The 18,736-nt window shown below is 40.7% G+C and overlaps 1 protein-coding gene across 27 annotated transcripts in view, besides 1 other annotated feature; it reads left to right on the top strand.

The window, feature by feature from the left end:
• SLC2A9 (solute carrier family 2 member 9) overlaps positions 1 to 18,736 on the top strand; it is a 269,246-nt gene that overhangs the window by 54,614 nt on the left and 195,896 nt on the right. For 26 of the 27 annotated variants that reach the window (XM_011513858.2, XM_047415973.1, XM_011513856.4 and 23 more), the window contains one exon: positions 4,920 to 5,065. In XM_011513858.2, coding sequence (XP_011512160.1) covers positions 4,920 to 5,065 — 146 coding nt within the window. Of the gene's footprint in view, positions 1 to 22; positions 3,394 to 4,919; positions 5,066 to 18,736 lie in introns of those variants that run through there. The other variant, XM_011513867.4, reaches the window with a different exon arrangement.
• Positions 14,940 to 15,059: an enhancer, noted in NCBI's record as "active region_21303". NCBI's record gives its function as "activates an Ori minimal core promoter by ATAC-STARR-seq in GM12878 lymphoblastoid cells {active_cell/tissue: GM12878}" and the evidence as "EXISTENCE:reporter gene assay evidence [ECO:0000049][PMID:35858748]".

The following is an 18,736-nucleotide window of genomic DNA, read 5'->3' as shown; positions in this document are numbered from 1 at the left end:
CATGACGGGGAGGGAACAGTAACATACTCCTTGGGGGTGTCCCAAAATGTGAGAAGTGTTTGGGGCTGTCACATGACTGGGGCTCTCTGCTGGCATTGACTTGGCAGGGACCAAGGATGCTGGAACTCTGCATAAAGTGGGACAGTCCTGTGGGATGAACCATCCCATTCATGATGCTCTAGCCCCTAATTGAGGAATGCTGGGCAGGGTCCGCAGTCTACCCCAAAGACCTGGATGGTCTTCAGCATGTCATGCCTTCTGTTTGGTCACCTTCATCATAATGTTAATATTCCAAGGTTATTTGTGGTTTTCATGGGGCTTTTATGAGGATGGGGTTTCTTCTCTGGGCCTCTGACTCATTCGTTATTTCATTTACTCGCCAGGCATTTGTAGAGCACCTGCGAGGGCTGGCACACTATAGGATGGAGACACAATGATTAACAAGACCCTGTCCCTGGAGCTTACATTCTAGTGGGCAGACAGATACATAAGGTAGACAGTAGCATGTCCTAGGAAGAAAACAAAGCAGGACAGGAGGGTGGTGAGGGCTGTTTTAGAAAGGCCAATCAGGGAAGACTGCTCAGAGAAGGAAACCTGAGCAGAGACCAGAGGAGCCAAGGGTGAGAACTGTTCCCAGCAGAGAGAAGAGTATTATGTCTCAGAGGCGGAAGGAGGCATGGCACGTCTGGGAAAGAGCAAGGAGATGTGTGGGTGCTGATGACGCCAAAGAGGAGCTGGGGCCAGATCACATAAGACCTTGTAGGCCACGGCGAGGACTGTGTGCCTGTGCCGAGTATGCAGGGAGGGTTGAGATGAATGTGACATGGACTGGTTTGTTCCAGTAATGGAGTATGAGGGGAAGCCAGGAGTGGAATCAGAGGAGCCAGCTGTTCAGGGGAAGGGACTGGGCTAGGTGGGGAGCTGCAGAGAAGGGGACAGATGCTGGCTATGGGAGTGAGAGTAGGAGACTCAAGATATATTGTCAGACAAACGCTGCTCTCTTTCTAAATAGGCAAATCCATAAAGTATCACTTTTAGGCATTTGTGGAAAGATTGCAAGCCTTAGGATTAGAAATCCCTGAGTTTGGATCTCAGTTCTGCTGCAAGTTACTTAATGGCTCTGAGCCTTGGTTTTCCCATTTGTAAAATGGTGGTAATAATACCTACTTCAAAAGGCTATAATAAGGCTGAACGGAAACACACACTCTGTCTCTCTCTCTCTCTCTGTCTCTCTCACACACACACATATACACATATGTACTGCCTGGAACCTAGCATGAGCTTCTTAAAGGCTAATTCCCTTCCTTGTCGATGTCTTAAAAGCTGAGGGTACCAGGTTGTTCAGCTGAGTGAGATGAACAATAAAAATGTCTCAGGGAGAGGTGAGCAGGAGAGTGGGGGCCTGGAAGTAAGGTTGAGAAGAGGAGGCTTCACTTACTTTTGTTGCCCTGCTGGAGGGGAATAATCTAGGCCTCTCTAATAGTCCAAACTCAAGATGAAATGACTCCTCAATCATTTGTCTATTCATTTGTCTATACTACTTGAATAGACTCCTTCTATTGATGGCTATTGAGAGTTTATCCATAAGAATAATGGCTGGTGTCTATGTAATGTTTTATAACTGACCAACTGTGTTCATGCTTTTCATTTTTTTTGATCTCCTCCTGTAATGAAAGACTGTTTTCTCATGTTCATTTTACAAATGGGGGCCCTAATGCTCAGAAAGCTGGAGCAGGAAAGTGGTTAAGGGTGAAGACTATGGAGTCAGACTGCCTGAATGCTCTCACTTGCTTCCATTAATTTCATTAATTTATCTGTATAGGTTAGGTTTGATGTATTTAAAAACCCCGAAACTTAAGCCATGATGGCACCACTGCATTTTAGCCTTGGCTACAGAGCGAAACCCTGTCTCTTAAAAAACAAAACAAAACTTAATGGCTTCAAATAGTAACCATTTTCCTGTGCTTTCACTTCTGTGGGTCGGCTGGGCAGTTCTGCTCTGGGCCAGCTCTGCCAATCTCTGCTGGGCCTTCTCATGTGTCTGCGGTGGCTTCAGGTTGGTCAGTGGCTGGATGACCTGGGATGGTCTCACGCCTGTGTTTGGGTGTTAGCAGGTGGCCTGGTCTCACGGGCTGTCAGTGGGCCAGCTCATTTCTTGGCTTCCCACCCTGGGCCAGGGGGGCCTGGGCTGCCTTGCATAAAGTTCTTGGGCTTCCAACAGCAGCCAAAGGAGAAAGTCCCAATGTGCACAATGTGCAAGCACTTTGCATGCACGTTTGCTGGTGTCCCTTTGGCCCAAGCAAGTCCCATGGCCACGTGCAGAATAAATGTCAGAGAGGACTAACTCCCCAAGGATGTCGATCCAGGGAGGGGGTACAAATCAGGGACCACTGCAGCAACCATTGACCTCACAGTCTTGGCCTCTTTCCCACCTGGCGTGGCAACTTAGCAGTAAGGCCTCCCTTGTTGGGTGATGTGAAAATTAAATGGGCCGGGCACGGTGGCTCACACCTGTAATCCCAGCACTTTGGGAGGCCGAGGCGGGCGGATCACCTGAGGTCAGGAGTTTGAGAGCAGCCTGACCAACATGGAGAAACCCTGTCTCTACTGAAAATACAAAATTAGCTGGGCATGGTGGCATATACCTGTAATCCCAGCTACTCGGGAGGCTGAGGTGGGAGAACCACTTGAACCCAGGAGATGGAGGTTGCGGTGAGCCGAGATCACCCATTGCACTCCCGTCTGGGCAACGTTAGCAAAACTCGATCTCAAAAGTAAATACATAAATAAATAAATAAAATAAACGATGTTCTACGTATTGAAGTACTTAGTGTAGTTCCAGGCACTTAGTGCCCCACTCCAGGAATGCTGATGGTATTATTGTCATTGTTGTTATTTGTGTTCTTAATTAATAAAGTACAGATCTAGGATTTGGGTTTCAGAGGCCCTGCCTGCTTTGGAGAAAGCCTGGATGAGGTTGCAGTGGATCTTCTGGGAAGTCCTTTCCTAGTGGAGGCAACTGAGATTCTCTGTTTGGCAGTTTTATATTTTATCCATTATCCCCTTTCTTGTTGCTTTGACTAATCTGGGGAGTTGACCCTTCGAACATATAACTAATTGATCTCTGAATTTCCTTAACTAAAAATAAGCTGCATTCCAAGATGGACCTTTTACAAAACCACAGAGATAGAACAAATGTCTTTTAGACCCTTTTTCCTATGAGCTTTCAAAAAGAAGCAGGAAAGAAAGAAGAACAAGAAGGAAAGAAAAAACTTCGGTCTTTCCGACTTGTGGCACGTGGCCTGTTGGAGTCACGCCAGGACTTGGAGACTTCATGTCATGTATTCTCACCAACCCTCTCAAAGCAGAGAGAAGAACTCGAGGGCACTTAAGGTGAGACAATTGGTCAGAAAGAAAGGAATATTGCTGCTATTACCTGAACTGGCCGATCTGTTTGTAATAAAGAATTTAAAGCCGGTCCGGGCGCAGTGGCTCACGCCTGTAATCCTAACACTTTGGGAGGCCAAGGCAGGCGGATCATCTGAGGTCGGGAGTTCGAGACCAGCTGACCAACATGGAGAAACCCGTCTCTACTAAAAATACAAAAATTAGCTGGGCGTGGTGGCGCATGCCTATAATCCCAGCTACTCAGGAGGCTGAGGCAGGAGAATCACTTGAACCCGGGAGGTGGAAGTTGTGGTGAGCCGAGATCAAGCCATTGTGCTCCAGCCTGGGCAACAAGAGTGAAACCCCATCTTGGAAAAAAAAAAAAAAGAATTTAAAGCCAAATGATAAACCTGAAGGATTTTGAGATGATAGAAGGCTCTAAGACTTGCTAATCCAGCCAGGTTCTCCCGGAGTATTTGAAACCATAATAGGACAACAGGGCATCTTCCTGGAGTGTTCTTCATCTAGAAGGTTTAGAGAAAAAAACTATTATATTTTTATAAAATGAGTATAATAGCATCTGCCATAACGGAGTCCCATAATTTATGACAAGAGGCAATGTTAGCTGGTGGGAAAAGTGCAAGTTCTAAGATCAGAGACCCACTGGGGCTCTATTGGGCAAAATAATTTTTTTAAACATCTCTGGACATTACTTGGTGATTTAGGCAAGTTACTCAACTTTTCTGTGCCTCAGTTTACTAATCTTTAGAAGAGAAATGGTAATAGTATATTTAATTCAGAAGACTATTGTTAAAAGTAAATAACGTTAATACATATAAAGAGATGAGAAGGATTCCTGTTACTTGGTAGCCACTATGTGTATTGGCTATTATCATTGTGACCACCATCACCACCATCACCATCACCACCACCACCACACCATCACTATCACCACCATCGCCACCATCACTATCATAACCATTACTACTACCACCACCACTATCACCATCATCATCATTGCCACAACCATCATCACAGTCATCACCACCACCATCATCATCATCACCATCATGACCATCACTACCACCACCACCATCACTACCATTACCACCACCATCATCACCGTCACCATCGCCATCATTACCATCACTACCACTACCACCATCACCATTACTACCATCACTACTACCATCATCATCACCATCATGACCATCACTATCACCACCACCATCACTACCATCACGACCACCGTTATCACCATCACCGTCATTATCACCATCAATACCATCACCTCCACCAACACCATCAGCTGTGTCCTGTCCTCTGAAATGCACCTCCAGTCATACTTTAGGATTAAATTATAAAGTTCATGGGAAAGCTTTGGCAATTTGTGCTAAGTGCTGGGAAAAATGCCGTGGCTACAGTGCTATTTAATGTCCAGGGCAAAGCAGAGCCAAGAGAGGCATTGTAACCAGAGTGCAGCTCCCCCGGGAAGACACCTCTCTAACTGCTGCTATGCTTTCTCTCTACAGGCGTCGCCCTCAGTGTGCTCCCCATGTACCTTAGTGAGATCTCACCCAAGGAGATCCGTGGCTCTCTGGGGCAGGTGACTGCCATCTTTATCTGCATTGGCGTGTTCACTGGGCAGCTTCTGGGCCTGCCCGAGCTGCTGGGAAAGGTGAGTGTGGCTCCCTGGTCAACCGCATCTGCTCTCATCTCATGTTACCACTGCAGGAAGGAGCCTTTTCTCCAAAAGCTGGTCCCTGTATTTTGCAATTTCTGGTATTCAAGCCTCTTACTTATTATTGGAGAAAAGTTGTGGAGTTCCTTTGAGTTTATTTTTTTTAAGTACATAAAGAATACATAACAAATTGAAACCTTATAGAATGTTTAAGTCCACCCACCCAGTAATTATCATTAATAGCTCAATTTGTGTTTGTTTAGGCATCTTCTGTGCTTTAAAAACCTATATAAACATATATAGTTTATTGTGGCTTTGATGGAATTATGCCATACACATTGTTCTACAACCTGGTGTTTTCATTTAATATATTTTGGGCATCTTTTCAAGACGTTAGCTTAGCTCTACCTCATTCTTTAGTCTCTTTTTTCCTGAATAGATAAGTAAGTAGAGTCTTCCGGTTTTGGCTTGCTGTTTTGGGAGCAGGTGGGCCTGAATTTGAATCCCAGTTCGATGATTTACTTGCTGTGTGGCCTTAGCAGGGAGAAAAGAAACATTTCACTCAGGTCGAATGGGGTGGGGTAAACTCAAGGAAGGCTTTTTAGAAGAGGTGGCCTCTAAATGGACTCCTGAAGGGTAAGCAGGAGTTAGGCAGGTGATGATGGGGATTGGGACAGAGGATATACCAGAGAAAGGAAATCAGTAAAGAAAAGGCTCAAGATGGGGCACAGCCCTGGGAAAGAACTCAGATGGCTGTGGGGCTGAGGAGAAAGCAGGCATGGGGAGGGTGAGAGATGAAGCGTCTGTTCACTGAGCCACCACAGACTTCACCCTGGGGGAATAGGAAGCCCTGGATGGCACTGGAGCTGGAGGGTGACATGGCCAGATCAGTGTTAGAAGGTGGCTCTGGGGTGGAGGCGGTGGGTGTAGACTAGAGTGGGAAGGGTGGGGAGGAGAGAGGCAGAGGGCTGCTGCTATTGGTACACATGGTAAGGGAAGGATGCAGCTGCGACTGAGGTGGTAGACATGGGGATAAAGAGGCCACTGGACTTGCTAGGATTCCTCCCAGGGGATGCCTCCCAGGGATGCAGGGGCGCTGCCTTCCCACTCACACAGGCAGGGCAGGAGGGTAGGCAGAGATTAAACCACTAATGATGGTCGAATGCCCACTTCATGCCAGACTGTTCTAGGCACGAACAGTGCACAACAGACAAACAGCTCCCTGTGGAGCTGAATTCTAGCAGCAGGGGGCAAACATAACAAATTCGCACGTCCTAGAGCAGTTATGTAAAAGACTCATTTGTTATGCTGCTCAAATCCTAACAGCTACTTTGTGAGTAGCTCAGATATGCAGCCTTGGACGCAAGCAGAGAGAGGTAAGGGACAGAGCTCTCACAAACAAGGGCATATTGGTGCTGAAACCAGAACCCGGGTCTGTGTGCTTTCAAAGCCACGTATGGGTTGTGTCTTACACATCCAAGGATGGATCACACTGGTGTTTCTGGGAATGTGGGCGCTCTGGAGAGAAGGGGCTAATTCTGCCCACAGGGTCCTTTCTGTCCCAGCTACTGAGCCTCACTGACTCTAGGGCCAGCTCCTTTCTCATTCAGTGGAAGGTTTTATAAGTGGAGGAATCACTGTATTCCATTTTTAAAGCAAATTTTAAATGTTTTGAACATTTTTTATTGTGGTAAAATCCACATAAAGTTTACCATTTTGACCATTCTTAAGTGTACTTTTCTGTGATATTATAAGTGACTTTTTATATTTCAGCCAATCGAGGTCACCTCAGAGGCATCTGCTTCTGATCTTTTATTATGACCATTCTGGGTTATTACGGCTATGACTTTAGTTTCTTCTTTTGCAAAAACAGAAACAACTCACATTTTACATTTGTGGTTGTCATATGCATGACGATTTCTATAATTAATTGCGAGTGTGTTAGAAACAGTCTCTCAACCTAAGTGAGGTTCCAAACTAAAGAGACTCTTTTGCTTTTTGTTTCTAAAGATATTTTAAAATTCTCAAAATAACCACCACATGTTGATAATAAAAACAAGATAACAGCCTCAGCTCCCTAAACAAAAATACATTTAAAAGTCAATGAAGAGTGCTATTGTCCTTTAGGAGTAAAAAAAGTAAATAAATATTTACCTCAGTAGAGCTAAACTTTTCTCTTTGGGGATCATTTCCAAATTCCACTTTGTTTATAAATCAATATCAAGTTCTTTCTCCTGCTTGAGTCCGTAAGGTCTGTCTTCAACCTCTGTCTTCACCCTTTATTTATTCATTCACCACATTTGTTAAAACATTGAGTTGATTCTGGAGCTACAGCTTTGAGCACATCAGGTACAGCCCACGTCTTTCTTACTCAGACTGCAAGGACTTTGTGACCTTGGGAAGGTCGACTCACCTCTCTGACCCAGTGTCCTCTTCAGTAACAGGAATGGTTGCAAGTCCCAAATTCCCAAGCCCCACTCAAGCTTGACTTCCTCTGGGAAAACATCGCTGGCAAATAGTGACTGTTCAGCATATCCTAGGACACCGTGCACCTGTGCCTCTCCCACACTGATTTCCGTTTGCTTCCGCATCTTGTCCCGCCAGTCGATGGCATCTTACTTGCGTGCACACTAACCCAGAGGCGTCAAGTTTATCCAGTCATTCAACAAATGTGTAGAAAGCTTCTATTGTGTGCTAGGTATTGTGCCAGGTATTGGGTTGGCTGCTGGTGGTAGAGTGGTGAGATCATCAGGCTAGCCCTGCCCTTCGGAGGTCACAGGAGGGCAATTGACCAATGGCCACAGGTAATAGGAAAATAGGCACTGACCTCTGGTAGGGCATCGGGGGTGGTTTTCCTGCAGCAGTGACATCTAAACTCATGGCTTGAGGATGAGTAGGATTTATCTGGGCGGGTCTGTAGGAAGAGAGAGGCAATGGGGGCGGGGAGTTCTAGCCAGAGGTAAGAGTATGGGGGAAGGCCCTGGCATTTGTTCAGAGGCAGAAAAACTCAGGTGTCAGGAGCAGGGGGAGGGGGAGGGGGAGGGGGAGAGGGAGAGGGAGAGACCGCTGGCAAGGCAGGCAGCAGAGAGGGCCACACCTATGCTGTAAATGAGCACAGGGAAGGATGGGCAAGGTGAGAGGTTCCCAGGACCTGTGGCTGCTTGAGGGACAAGGGCATCTCCTACTGTTTCCATCACAGACACTGGCCTAGAGATGACAGATTTTCTGATTTTCAAGAGACATTACAAATCCAGATTTGTCATATTTCATAATTTGTAAATATTGGAAACTGACCTTTAAAAAACAAAAAACGTCCCACCTGTGGGCTGGGTCTAGCCTTAGGGCCACCTTTCACACACCTTGATGGGGACTGTGTAACTGTGAAGGCTTATTTGTACCCCAAAGCAATGGGACATCATTGAGGACATGATGAGTGCTTCAAGAAGGCTTTTGGCCTGCAGCATGGAGAAAGGATTGGATCCCAGCCAGGACTGAAGGGGTTGACTGGTCCAGTTATGAGTTGGGTCAGAGTAATGGCAGTGTGGATGGAGAGAGGCAGATGAGGTTGAGTGAGGTTAGTGGTGATGGGATGTGGTGTCCCAGAGAGGAGGAGTCAAAAATAACTCTCAGGCGTCTGGCACATCAGCCAGATAGAATGGTGGTACCAGATGCTAAGACAGGGAGCTATGAAAGAGAAGGAGTAGCTCTGCAGGGGAAAAGGTGACAAGTTCACTGATGTGAACTGTGCATGTCTCAGAGCAACTGGAAGGAAGAGCTGATTCGAGGACCTGGGTACCTAGATTCTGAGGCTGGGACACTCTCTCCCAGGAACAGGGCTCATGAACATGATGCCAGCCAAGGGGCACAGCTGCCCATGCCCACCTTCTGGCTTTGAGCTAGCCAAAAGGTGTACCATTGGTTCCTATAGGCTGTCTCTTCCCATCAGATGGGAGTTTCCAGACAGTCTTGGCCCTGGCCAGGAAGATGGGTGAGGAACCCTGTAAATATCCTTCTGTTTTCAAATGTATGCTCTGGGAATGTGGATCTAGGGCTTCTGGTCCAGGAAAGAACATCAAATGGGAAATTTTTATTCATGTCTCTGGGGATTTGCAGTGTTCCAGCCAAGTGAAATTCACAGTTATTTCACTAAGTGTCAGAATTTCATTTTCACTATTTTAATCATATTTCCCATTTACCTTCAAAGACTGAGACAACGAAGCTTTGAAAAAAGAGAGAGAAAAACTGGGCTTCAATGAAGGCAATTGCTTTGAAACACAGAGGGTGAAGGAGGGTTAGCAAGAAGGTAGCTATTTATTTATTTTATGACTTCAACTTTTATTTTAAATTAAGAGGGTACGTGTGCGTACTTATTTCCTGGGTATATTGAGAGATACTCAAGTTTGGGGTATAATTTATCCCATCACACAAGTACTGAACATACTACCCAATAGTTTTTCAACTTTTCTCCCCTCTATCCCTCCCCTCCATCTATCCCACTGTCTCCAGTGTCTAGTGTTGCCATCTTTATGTCCATGAGAACCCATTGTTTAATTCCCACTTATAAGTGAGAACATGCAGTGTTTGGTTTTCTGTTCCTGTGTTATTTCACTTAGGATAATGGCCTCCAGCTCCATCTATGTTGCTGCGAACAACATGATTTTGCTTCTTCTCATGGCTGCATAGTATTCTACGGTGTATGTGTATCACATTTTCTTTATCCAGTCCACCATTGATGGACACTTAAGTTAATTTCATGTCTTTGCTATTGTGAATAGTGGTGCCATGAACATATGAGTGCATCACTCTTTTTGGTAGAATAATTTATTTTCTTTGGATATATACCCAATAATGGGATTGCTGGGTCAAATGGTAGTTCTAAGTTCTTTGAGAAATTTCCATACTGCTTTCCATAGTGGCTGAACTAATTTACATTCCCACCAACAGTGCATAAGTGTTCCCTTTTCTCTGCAGCCTCATTAGCATCTGTTGTTTTCTGACTTTTTAATCACAGCCCTTCTGACTGGTGTGAGATGGTATCTCATTGTGGTTTGGATTGGCGTCTCTCTGATGATTAGTGATGTTGAGCATTTTTTAATATGTTTGTTGGCCACTTGTATGTCTTCTTTTGAGAAGTGTCTGTTCATGTCCTTTTCCCATTTTTTAATGGGGTTATTTGTTTTTTGCTTGTTCAATTGTTTAAGTTCCTTATAGATTATGGATTTTAGCCCTTTGTCAGATGATAGTTTACAATTATTTTGTCCCATTCCATAGGTTGTCTGTTTACTCCATTGATAGTTGCTTGAATTGAAGAGCTCTACAGAAGCTCTTCAGTTTAATTAGATTCCACTTGTCAATTTTTGTTTTTGTTACAATTTCTTTTGCAATTTTCTTTCCCAAGGCCAATGTCCAGAATGATATTTCCTAGGTTTTCTCGTAGGATTCTTATAGTTTGAGGTCTTTCATTTAAATCTTTAATCCATCTTGAGTTAATTTTTGTATATGGTAAAATGTAGGGGTCCAGTTACATTCTTCTGCATATGGCAAACCAACTATCCCAGCACCATTTATTGAATAGGAAGTCCTTTCCCCATTGCTTATTTCTGTCAACTTTGTCAAAGATCAGATGGCTGTAGGTGTACAGCTTTACTTCTGTGTTCTCCATTCTGTTTCATTTGTCTATGTGTCTGTTTTTGTACCAGTACCATACTGTTTTGGTTACTGTAGGTTTACAGTATGGCTTGAGGTCAGGTAATATGATGCCTCTGGCTTTTGTTCTTTTTGCTTAGGATGGCTTGGGCTATTTGGGCTCTTTTTTGGTTTTATATGAATTTTAGAATTTTTTTTTCTAGTTTGGTGGAAAATGACATTGGTAGCTTGATAGAAATAGTGTTGAATCTGTAGATTGCTTTGGGCAGTATTGCTATTTTAATGATATTGATTGTTCTAATCCATGAACATAGAATGTTTTTCCATTTGTGTCATCTGTGATTTCTTTCAGTAATGTTTTGTAGTTTTCTTTATTTAAATCTTTCACCTCCTTGGTTAATTATTTCCTAGTTTTTTTTTTTGGCAGCTATTATAAATGGGATTGCATTCTTGCTTTGGCTCTCAGCTTGAACATTATTGGTGTATAGAAATACTACTGATTTTTGTACACTGATTTTGTATCCTGAAACTTTCCTGAAATCCCCTGTCAGTTCCAGGAGACTTTTGGTGGAGTCTTTTCTAGATCATCAGTGAAGAGAGATAGTTTGACTTCTTTTCCTATTTGAATACCTTTTATTTCTTTCTCTTGCCTGATTGCTCTGGCTAGAACTTTATTGCTATGCTGAATAGGAGTGGTGAGAGTGGGCACCTTGTCTTGTTTCAGTTCTCAAGAGGAATGCTTTCAGCTTTTGCCTGTTCAGTATGATGTTGGCTGTGGGTTTGTCATAGTTGGCTCTCATTATTTTGAGGTATGATTGTTTAATGCTTAGTTTCTTGAGAGGTTTTATCATTAAGGCTTGTTGGATTTTATCAAAACATTTTTCTGCATCTATTGTGGTGAATCACCTATATTGATTTGCATATGTTAAACTAACCTTGCATCCCAGGAAGGAAGCCTACTTGATCATGGTGAATTGACTTTTGATATACTACTGGATTCGGTTTGCTGGTAATTTGTAAAGGATTTTTTCATCTATGTTCATCAGGGATATTGGTTTCTAGTTTTCTGTTTTTTTTTTTTTTAATACTTTAAGTTTTAGGGTACATGTGCACAACGTGCAGGTTAGTTACATATGTATACATGTGCCATATTGGTGTGTTGCACCCATTAACTTGTCATTTAACATTAAGTATACCTCCTAATGCTATCCCTCCCCCCTCCCCCCACCCCACAACAGGCCCCAGTGTGTGATGTTCCCCTTCCTGTGTCCATGTGTTCTCATTGTTCAATTCCCACCTATGAGTGAGAACATGCGGTGTTTGGTTTTTTGTCCTTGCGATAGTTTGCTGAGAATGATGGCTTCCAGCTTCATCCATGTCCCTACAAAGGACATGAACTCTTCATTTTTCATGGCTGCATAGTATTCCATGGTGTATATGTGCCACATTTTCTTTTTATTGTATCTTTGCCAGGTTTTGGTATTGGTGTTATGCTGATTTCAAAGAACAAATTAGAGAGGAGTCCCTCCTCAATTTTTTGGAATAGTTTCAGCAGGATTGGTACCAGCTCTTCTTTGTACATCTAATAGAATTTGGCTGTGAATCCATCTTTTCAGGGCTTTTATTGGTTGGTAGGTTTTTTATTACTCCTTCAATTTCAGATCTTGATATTGTTCTGTTCAGGGTTTCAGTTTCTTCCTAATTGAATCTTGGGAAATTGTGAGTTTCCAGGAACTTATTCATTTCCTCTAGATTTTCTAGTTTGTGTGCCTAGAAGTGTTCATAATAGTCTCTGAAGATATTTTATATTTCTGTGGAATCAGTTATAATGTCACCTTCATCATTTCTGATTGTGCTTATTTGGATCGTCTCTCTTTCTTTTTTAATCTAGCTAGTGGTCTATTAATCTCATTTATCCTTTCAAATAATGAACTTTTGGTTTCATTGATTCTTTGTATGGATTTTGGATCTCAATTTTGTTCTGTTCTGTTCTGATTTTATAGCTGTTTCTTTTCTTTTGCTAACTTTGGAGTTGGTTTGATCTTGTTTTTCTACTTCCTCTAGGAGTGGTGATAAGATTATTAATATGAGATCTTTCTAACTTTTTGAGGTAGGCATTTAGCACTCTAAACATTCTTCTTACCACTGCTTTTGCTGCATCTCAGAGATTTTGGTATGTTATGTCTCTGTTTTCACTTATTTCAAATAATTTGTGATCTCTGCCTTAATTTCATTGTTTACCCAAAAGTCATTCAGGAGCAGGTCATTTAATTTCCATGTAATTGTGTGGTTTTGAGAGATCTTCTTGGTGTTGATTTCTAATTTTAGTCCACTGTGGTCTGAGAGTATGGTTGGTATGAGTTTAATTCTTTTGAATCTACTGAGACTTGCTTTATGGCTGAGCCTGTGGTAGACGAAGGTGGCTTTTAGAGTAGGCTGCTAGAAGGCAAGAAAGGGAAATAAATGTAGGAATTAATGCTGGTTCCATGAATTTAATCAAAGATACATCATAAAACAATTGTCATGGCTGAACATTTATGTGACTCCAAATGATATATTTTTTTTAAAACAAATCAATTAGCTATTTCTCTTGCAAAGATAAAGAAGAAATAGACTTAGATGAAAATTATAGGCAAAAGTATGAGAAGAGAGATTAGGAATGATGTGAGGCCGTAAAGGAACGATTTTATATGCTCAGAAGAACATTTATGTCAGATAAGAATGATTAACTTTGAGCTCCCACTTTTCTTTCCTCTCAAGGAAAGAAATATACTAATGGTTGCAAATTTTTTCAATCTAAATAACAAACAGGGAGACTTTCTGAAAGAAAACAATGTTTATTCAGGAATGGGCATTGCAATTGGCATAGGTGTGCCATAGTAAACCATGTGCATATTCAGGGAGGTGAAAGAAGACAAAGGATTTTAAAGAAAAAATGAGACGAATTATGTAATTGTTTTTGAGATAGTTATCTTTGAATAGAAGGATCAGTAACAAGGGTGGCATCAGTCCAAGGTTGGACAGGCAGTTGCTAGGCAGGTGTTCTCGCAGCAGTATTTTCTCGTGTAAGGTTGTAGTGGCCTTTGTGCAAGGTTTTTGCAGTCTTTTGCAATAGTTTTTGCCAGCAGGCATCTGTATATGAGAATCTTCCTTTCATGACCTTCCTTAGCTTTATTTTTCAGGGGTTTGCTTTTATTTTTGCTTTTTAACACAGGTGACTTTATTTTTATTCTGACAACTTTCACATTTCCTTTTTTGATCAAGATTTTTTAAAAAAATCACTGGTTAACCATTTTGTAGTTAGGTTTTGATTATCCCTAGGTGAGGCAGCTGGGATCAACCTGTCTCACGTTGTTGGTTGGTCCTACATTGGAAGGTGTAATTGGAGTTAGTGTCTAAACTCTTTTAGCTACATTTGAGCAACAAGAGGGGTTTGGAGAGAGTGGTTCTCAGGCTACATCTACCTAAAATCAAGTGTTAAGTTTAAGTTTTTGTCTATTCTGTAGGCATTTACTATTATCTAAAAGTGTTGGGCCAGTATTATTCTGTGAAGATTTGTTCTGTAGAAATTTAACAAGTAATAGGTACAAGGTTTAAAAGAAAAATACAAAGTAAAATTAATAGTAATATGACAATCTCAGCTTGTATATTAGTTGTGATCCATGAACTTAGGTTTAAAAGCAACCAATTAAATAAATTAAATAAATTAAATTAATTAAATGATCATGACAAATTAGGTGAAACTTGTTGTTGTAGCAGGATGAGCCACAGACAAAACCTCTCACACAATGAATTGTAGAAGGAAGGGCTTTATTCAGCTGGGAGCATCGGCAAGCTACTGTCTTAAAATCCGAGCTCCCTGAGTGCACAATTTCTGTCCTTTTTAGGGGCTCACAACACTAAAGATTTTACATGAAAGGGTCGTGATTGATTTGACCAAGCAGGCGGTACATGACGGGGGCTGCATGTACCGGTGGTCAGAGTGAAACAGAACAGAATGGGAGGTTTCACAATGTCCTTCTATATAATGTCTGGAATCTATAGATAACATCAGTTGCTAGGTCAGGGGTGGAATTTTAACTACTAGGTTTAGGCCAGGCAGGCCCAGGCCTGGTTTTGGGTCCGGTTTTGGGTCTGGCGCCTGGCGCTGGGCTGCCTGCCTTTGGTTTCACTTCCTTGTTTTTTTCTTAAAACAGGTACTGAGTATAAAACAATATGAGAGGTCTCTTTCTTCCCTCATTGTAACCTGCATTTTTTTTTTTAATTTTGTGTCTTTGAGTCTTAACTCTTCTAGGGGAATTTATCCAAGTATAGCATGTAGTATTAGCAACAGCACAAACTCTTTTTGTTTGTTTAACCCAGCTAGCTGGGTTCCAGGAACCTTGCACTGAGAACTCAAAACTGCCACAGGCTATAAGCTTTCCCCACCCAGACAGAAACTGTGGTTTTCAGGCTGTGCCCCTCCTGGTCCACCCCAAAGCAGGGATGCCCAGCTTCTGTACTTGTGACTACAGTACCCCCACTTGCCCCTTAGTTCTGGCCAAGGGAGCTCATCCCCACTCAAGATTATGTCGTGAATCACAGTTGAGACCTTCTCTCAACCTGTGACTGCCACCCGAGTTGGCTGGCTGACTTCTGCAAGGCTCCCTGTGAAGTAGAGTCAGGAATGTCTTCTCTCCATCCCCACTGGAGTCTAGGAGTGCACGCAAAGCATGTCCGATGCTGCTCCTTCTCAACATTCCCCACCACTCAGCTCCAGTGCTGGGTGGGGCCAAGGCCATCCCCCATGGCCTATATTATCAGGTTCCCTAGCGGGAGTGTGTGTCACAGAGGCAGTCTCTCCCACTGCCACACTCTGAGGACTCACAGTTTTCCACCTGGCTTATGGTGTAGGCTGCTGCCACCACTTCTTTCAAAGAGTCTGTGGTTTCTTTCAGTTTTCTGGTTAAATGCCTGTGGTGTTTCTTGGAAAAAAAATTATAGCGTGAGTCTCTACACACTATTTTGTCTTTCCAAGTATGAGAGGTGATATGGTTTGGCTTCATCTCCACCCAGATCTCATCTTGAATTGTAGCTCCCATAATTCCCATGTGTTGTGGGAAGAACCCAGTGGCAAATAATTGAATCATGGGGGTGGATTTTTCCCATACTGTTCTCATGATAGTGAATAAGTCTTATGAGATCTGATGGTTTTACAAAGGAGAGTTCCCCTGCACATGCTGTCTCTTGCCTGCCGCCATGTAAGACATGCCTTCATCTTCTGCCATGATTGTGAAGCCTCCCCAGCCATGGGGAACTGTGAGTCTATTAAACCTCTTTTTCTTTATAAATTACCCAGTCTCAGGTATGTCTTTATCAGCAGCATCAAAAGGGACTAATACAAGAGGCATGCTAACAATGCCTCTAATCTGCCATCTTGGGGGAAAAAAACCACATTGATCTTAAAGTTTTTTGAAACTTGTATTTAAGAGTATTTGTCAAAGTCTTTGTAATGAATCTAATTGCAGATAACTTTAGAGAAAAATTTAAAATAACTGTAAATGACAAAAATTTAAAACTACCATAGTTGAAAATAGGATAAAAGTTCCCCATAACCAGAAATTTGCAAGGAAATTTAGTTATTTTGTGGCCTACAATATAATAACCAAAATTATGACTGATAACATAGAAGATTTTAAGAGTTTTATTACCATTTTAGAACATATATACCAATAACATATCCATAAATGTAACTGAAAGAAGATCTAGTATCACTTAGCATTTGATATTTCCCATATAATTTACCAAATAAGCCTAATTATTTAATATCTCTACAAGATGAGAGAGAAGTCCTTTGAGGCTTTCTAGGGGCCTGACTGGAAAATCTCAAAGTTAAGTTTATGTCAAAAAGATTTAATTTAGCATTTTGATGCTGGGGAAGTCCATCAAAGATGCCAAAAGTTTTAAAATACCTGATCAAAACAGTATCACAGGGCACTGTGTGATAGTCATTTATTTAATTAGAGTGATAATTATAGATCTTAAAAGCAATACAGAAAGTTATATAGATATTAAAAAAACTTTAACCCTTAAAGTCTCCATTTTTTAAAAGTAATAAAAAAATTTAGTAAAGGCAACACAGGAAATTATCTTGATAAAATATAAAATATTTGTTTCTTAGGCCAGTTACTAAAAAGGCAATGAAAAACCTCCTTCTATGTGATTGGTTCACCTCATGGGAAGCCTGTTTAGACAACCTGATGAAAAAGTACTTGTATGTATTCAGAATGTATATCCAAGGCTATGACTGTACACTGTGGAACATAAACAAGAAAAGTATTACTTTAAGCAGGGGGATATATGGCTCTTAGTAAAAGCATGAGAAATTCCCTGGTTACATGGAACAATGTAGACACATGAAGAAAAGCTAAGTACAGAATCAAGTTATACTGGAAAAAAAGAAACATTGCTTTTCTAGGTCTTTGAGACAAACATTTTTAGTGTCAGGCCTCAATAGCTGTTAGAATGAGAGGAAGAAGTTATAGGAGCTAACAAAGAAGTTGAAGGAGAAAGTCAACATTCCAGCCAAGCAAAAAGATGTACCTTCTCAAGGAAAGAAAGTGAAAGAACAGAAGGCAATGTAGTATGAACTGCACATGCTATGCTGTGAGACACATTAAAATTGAACTTCTGAGATAGGACTCTGAGAAGCTTCAAGACGAAAACTCCACCTTGAGAAATGAAGATACCATTTTTAAGAAGAAGATAGCATTTTAAACTAAAAACTAGTTAAATTAAATGGAGACTATAAAACAAACAAAAAAATAAGCTACAGTTTAGAAAGTGGCTGAAAATTTTTACAATTAAAAATCAGAACTTCTTGTAAATTTTACTAAAAGCAGATCATTACTTCAAGAAAACTTTGTTGCTTTAACATAAGGGACCAAATTTTTAGTTTTGTATTGGTGTATTTTTAATATCAAAACTCAAACCTTAGAAAGGCTTATAAATAATTCCCTTTTAAATATAGTCAACTTGATCACATACAAAATTTCTTTTGTAAATTTATCATTTTCAGACCTTTTACAACTTACACAGACTTTCGTAACTTTCATGGCATGCTTATAACTTTTGTTTTGTTCTATACTTTCTTATTTTTAAATAACCAGTCACTTTATTTTAGGAAAAAACATTTACCAGGCAAGATTTTTTAATGTAAAGTTATTTTCTTTTCTTAAATCTTTCTTACCAGAAATATATCTTTATTCCCATAACTTTCTTTATATCTCTTTCTATTTACTGGATTCTTTTTGTTTATATTTTCTTTCTAAATCCATATTTTGACACAACTTTTAATAACCTTTTAATTTAAAAAAATTATTTTTAAATGAAGTACATATTTTGTCTTATAATTTTTTAATTAAAAACAGTTCTTACTTTTTTGGTACATTTTACATAAAGAATTATATGCAGAAATCAGAATGCTCAACTCTTATTAATCTTAATTTTTAGTGAAAATCTAGAAAGAAATTTTAAACTATCACATACAAATATTTTATAGATGAAATCCTTTTTTAGTTTTATAAACATGTTTCAACATAACATAATTTTAGTGTGTATTAAGAGGCCCAATGATATTTAGTCTTTTATAAAATTTAAGAAGCACATAATTTGGTTCATTCCATTTATAACTTTTTGTATTCTGATTATTTTGCAACCTGATGTTGTGAACAAGTCATTAAAATTATTTGCTGTGATAGTTTTACTAATTTTATAATGATAATAATGAATTTTAAAAAACAATCTCAATTGTATTCAAACTAATGTATTCATTCAATACAATTTCAATCAAAAGTTCAATGACATTTCTGTTTGTGATGGAAAATGAGGAAAGAGTTCTAAAGTTCCCACAAGAGAATAAGCAAGTGTATGTTTCTGACATAGTTTTGAAAATGGACGCTAGTGAGTACATTAAACATGTAATAAAGTGACAACAATTAAAACAATGCAGCATGGGCACAAGAATGGAAAGATCAAAGGCAC

The sequence above is a fragment of the Homo sapiens genome, chromosome 4 (assembly GCF_000001405.40).
Source record: "Homo sapiens chromosome 4, GRCh38.p14 Primary Assembly".
Classification (NCBI taxonomy): domain Eukaryota; kingdom Metazoa; phylum Chordata; class Mammalia; order Primates; family Hominidae; genus Homo; species Homo sapiens.
Note: the sequence above shows the minus strand (reverse complement) of the source record. Positions and strands in the feature narration are given on the sequence as shown.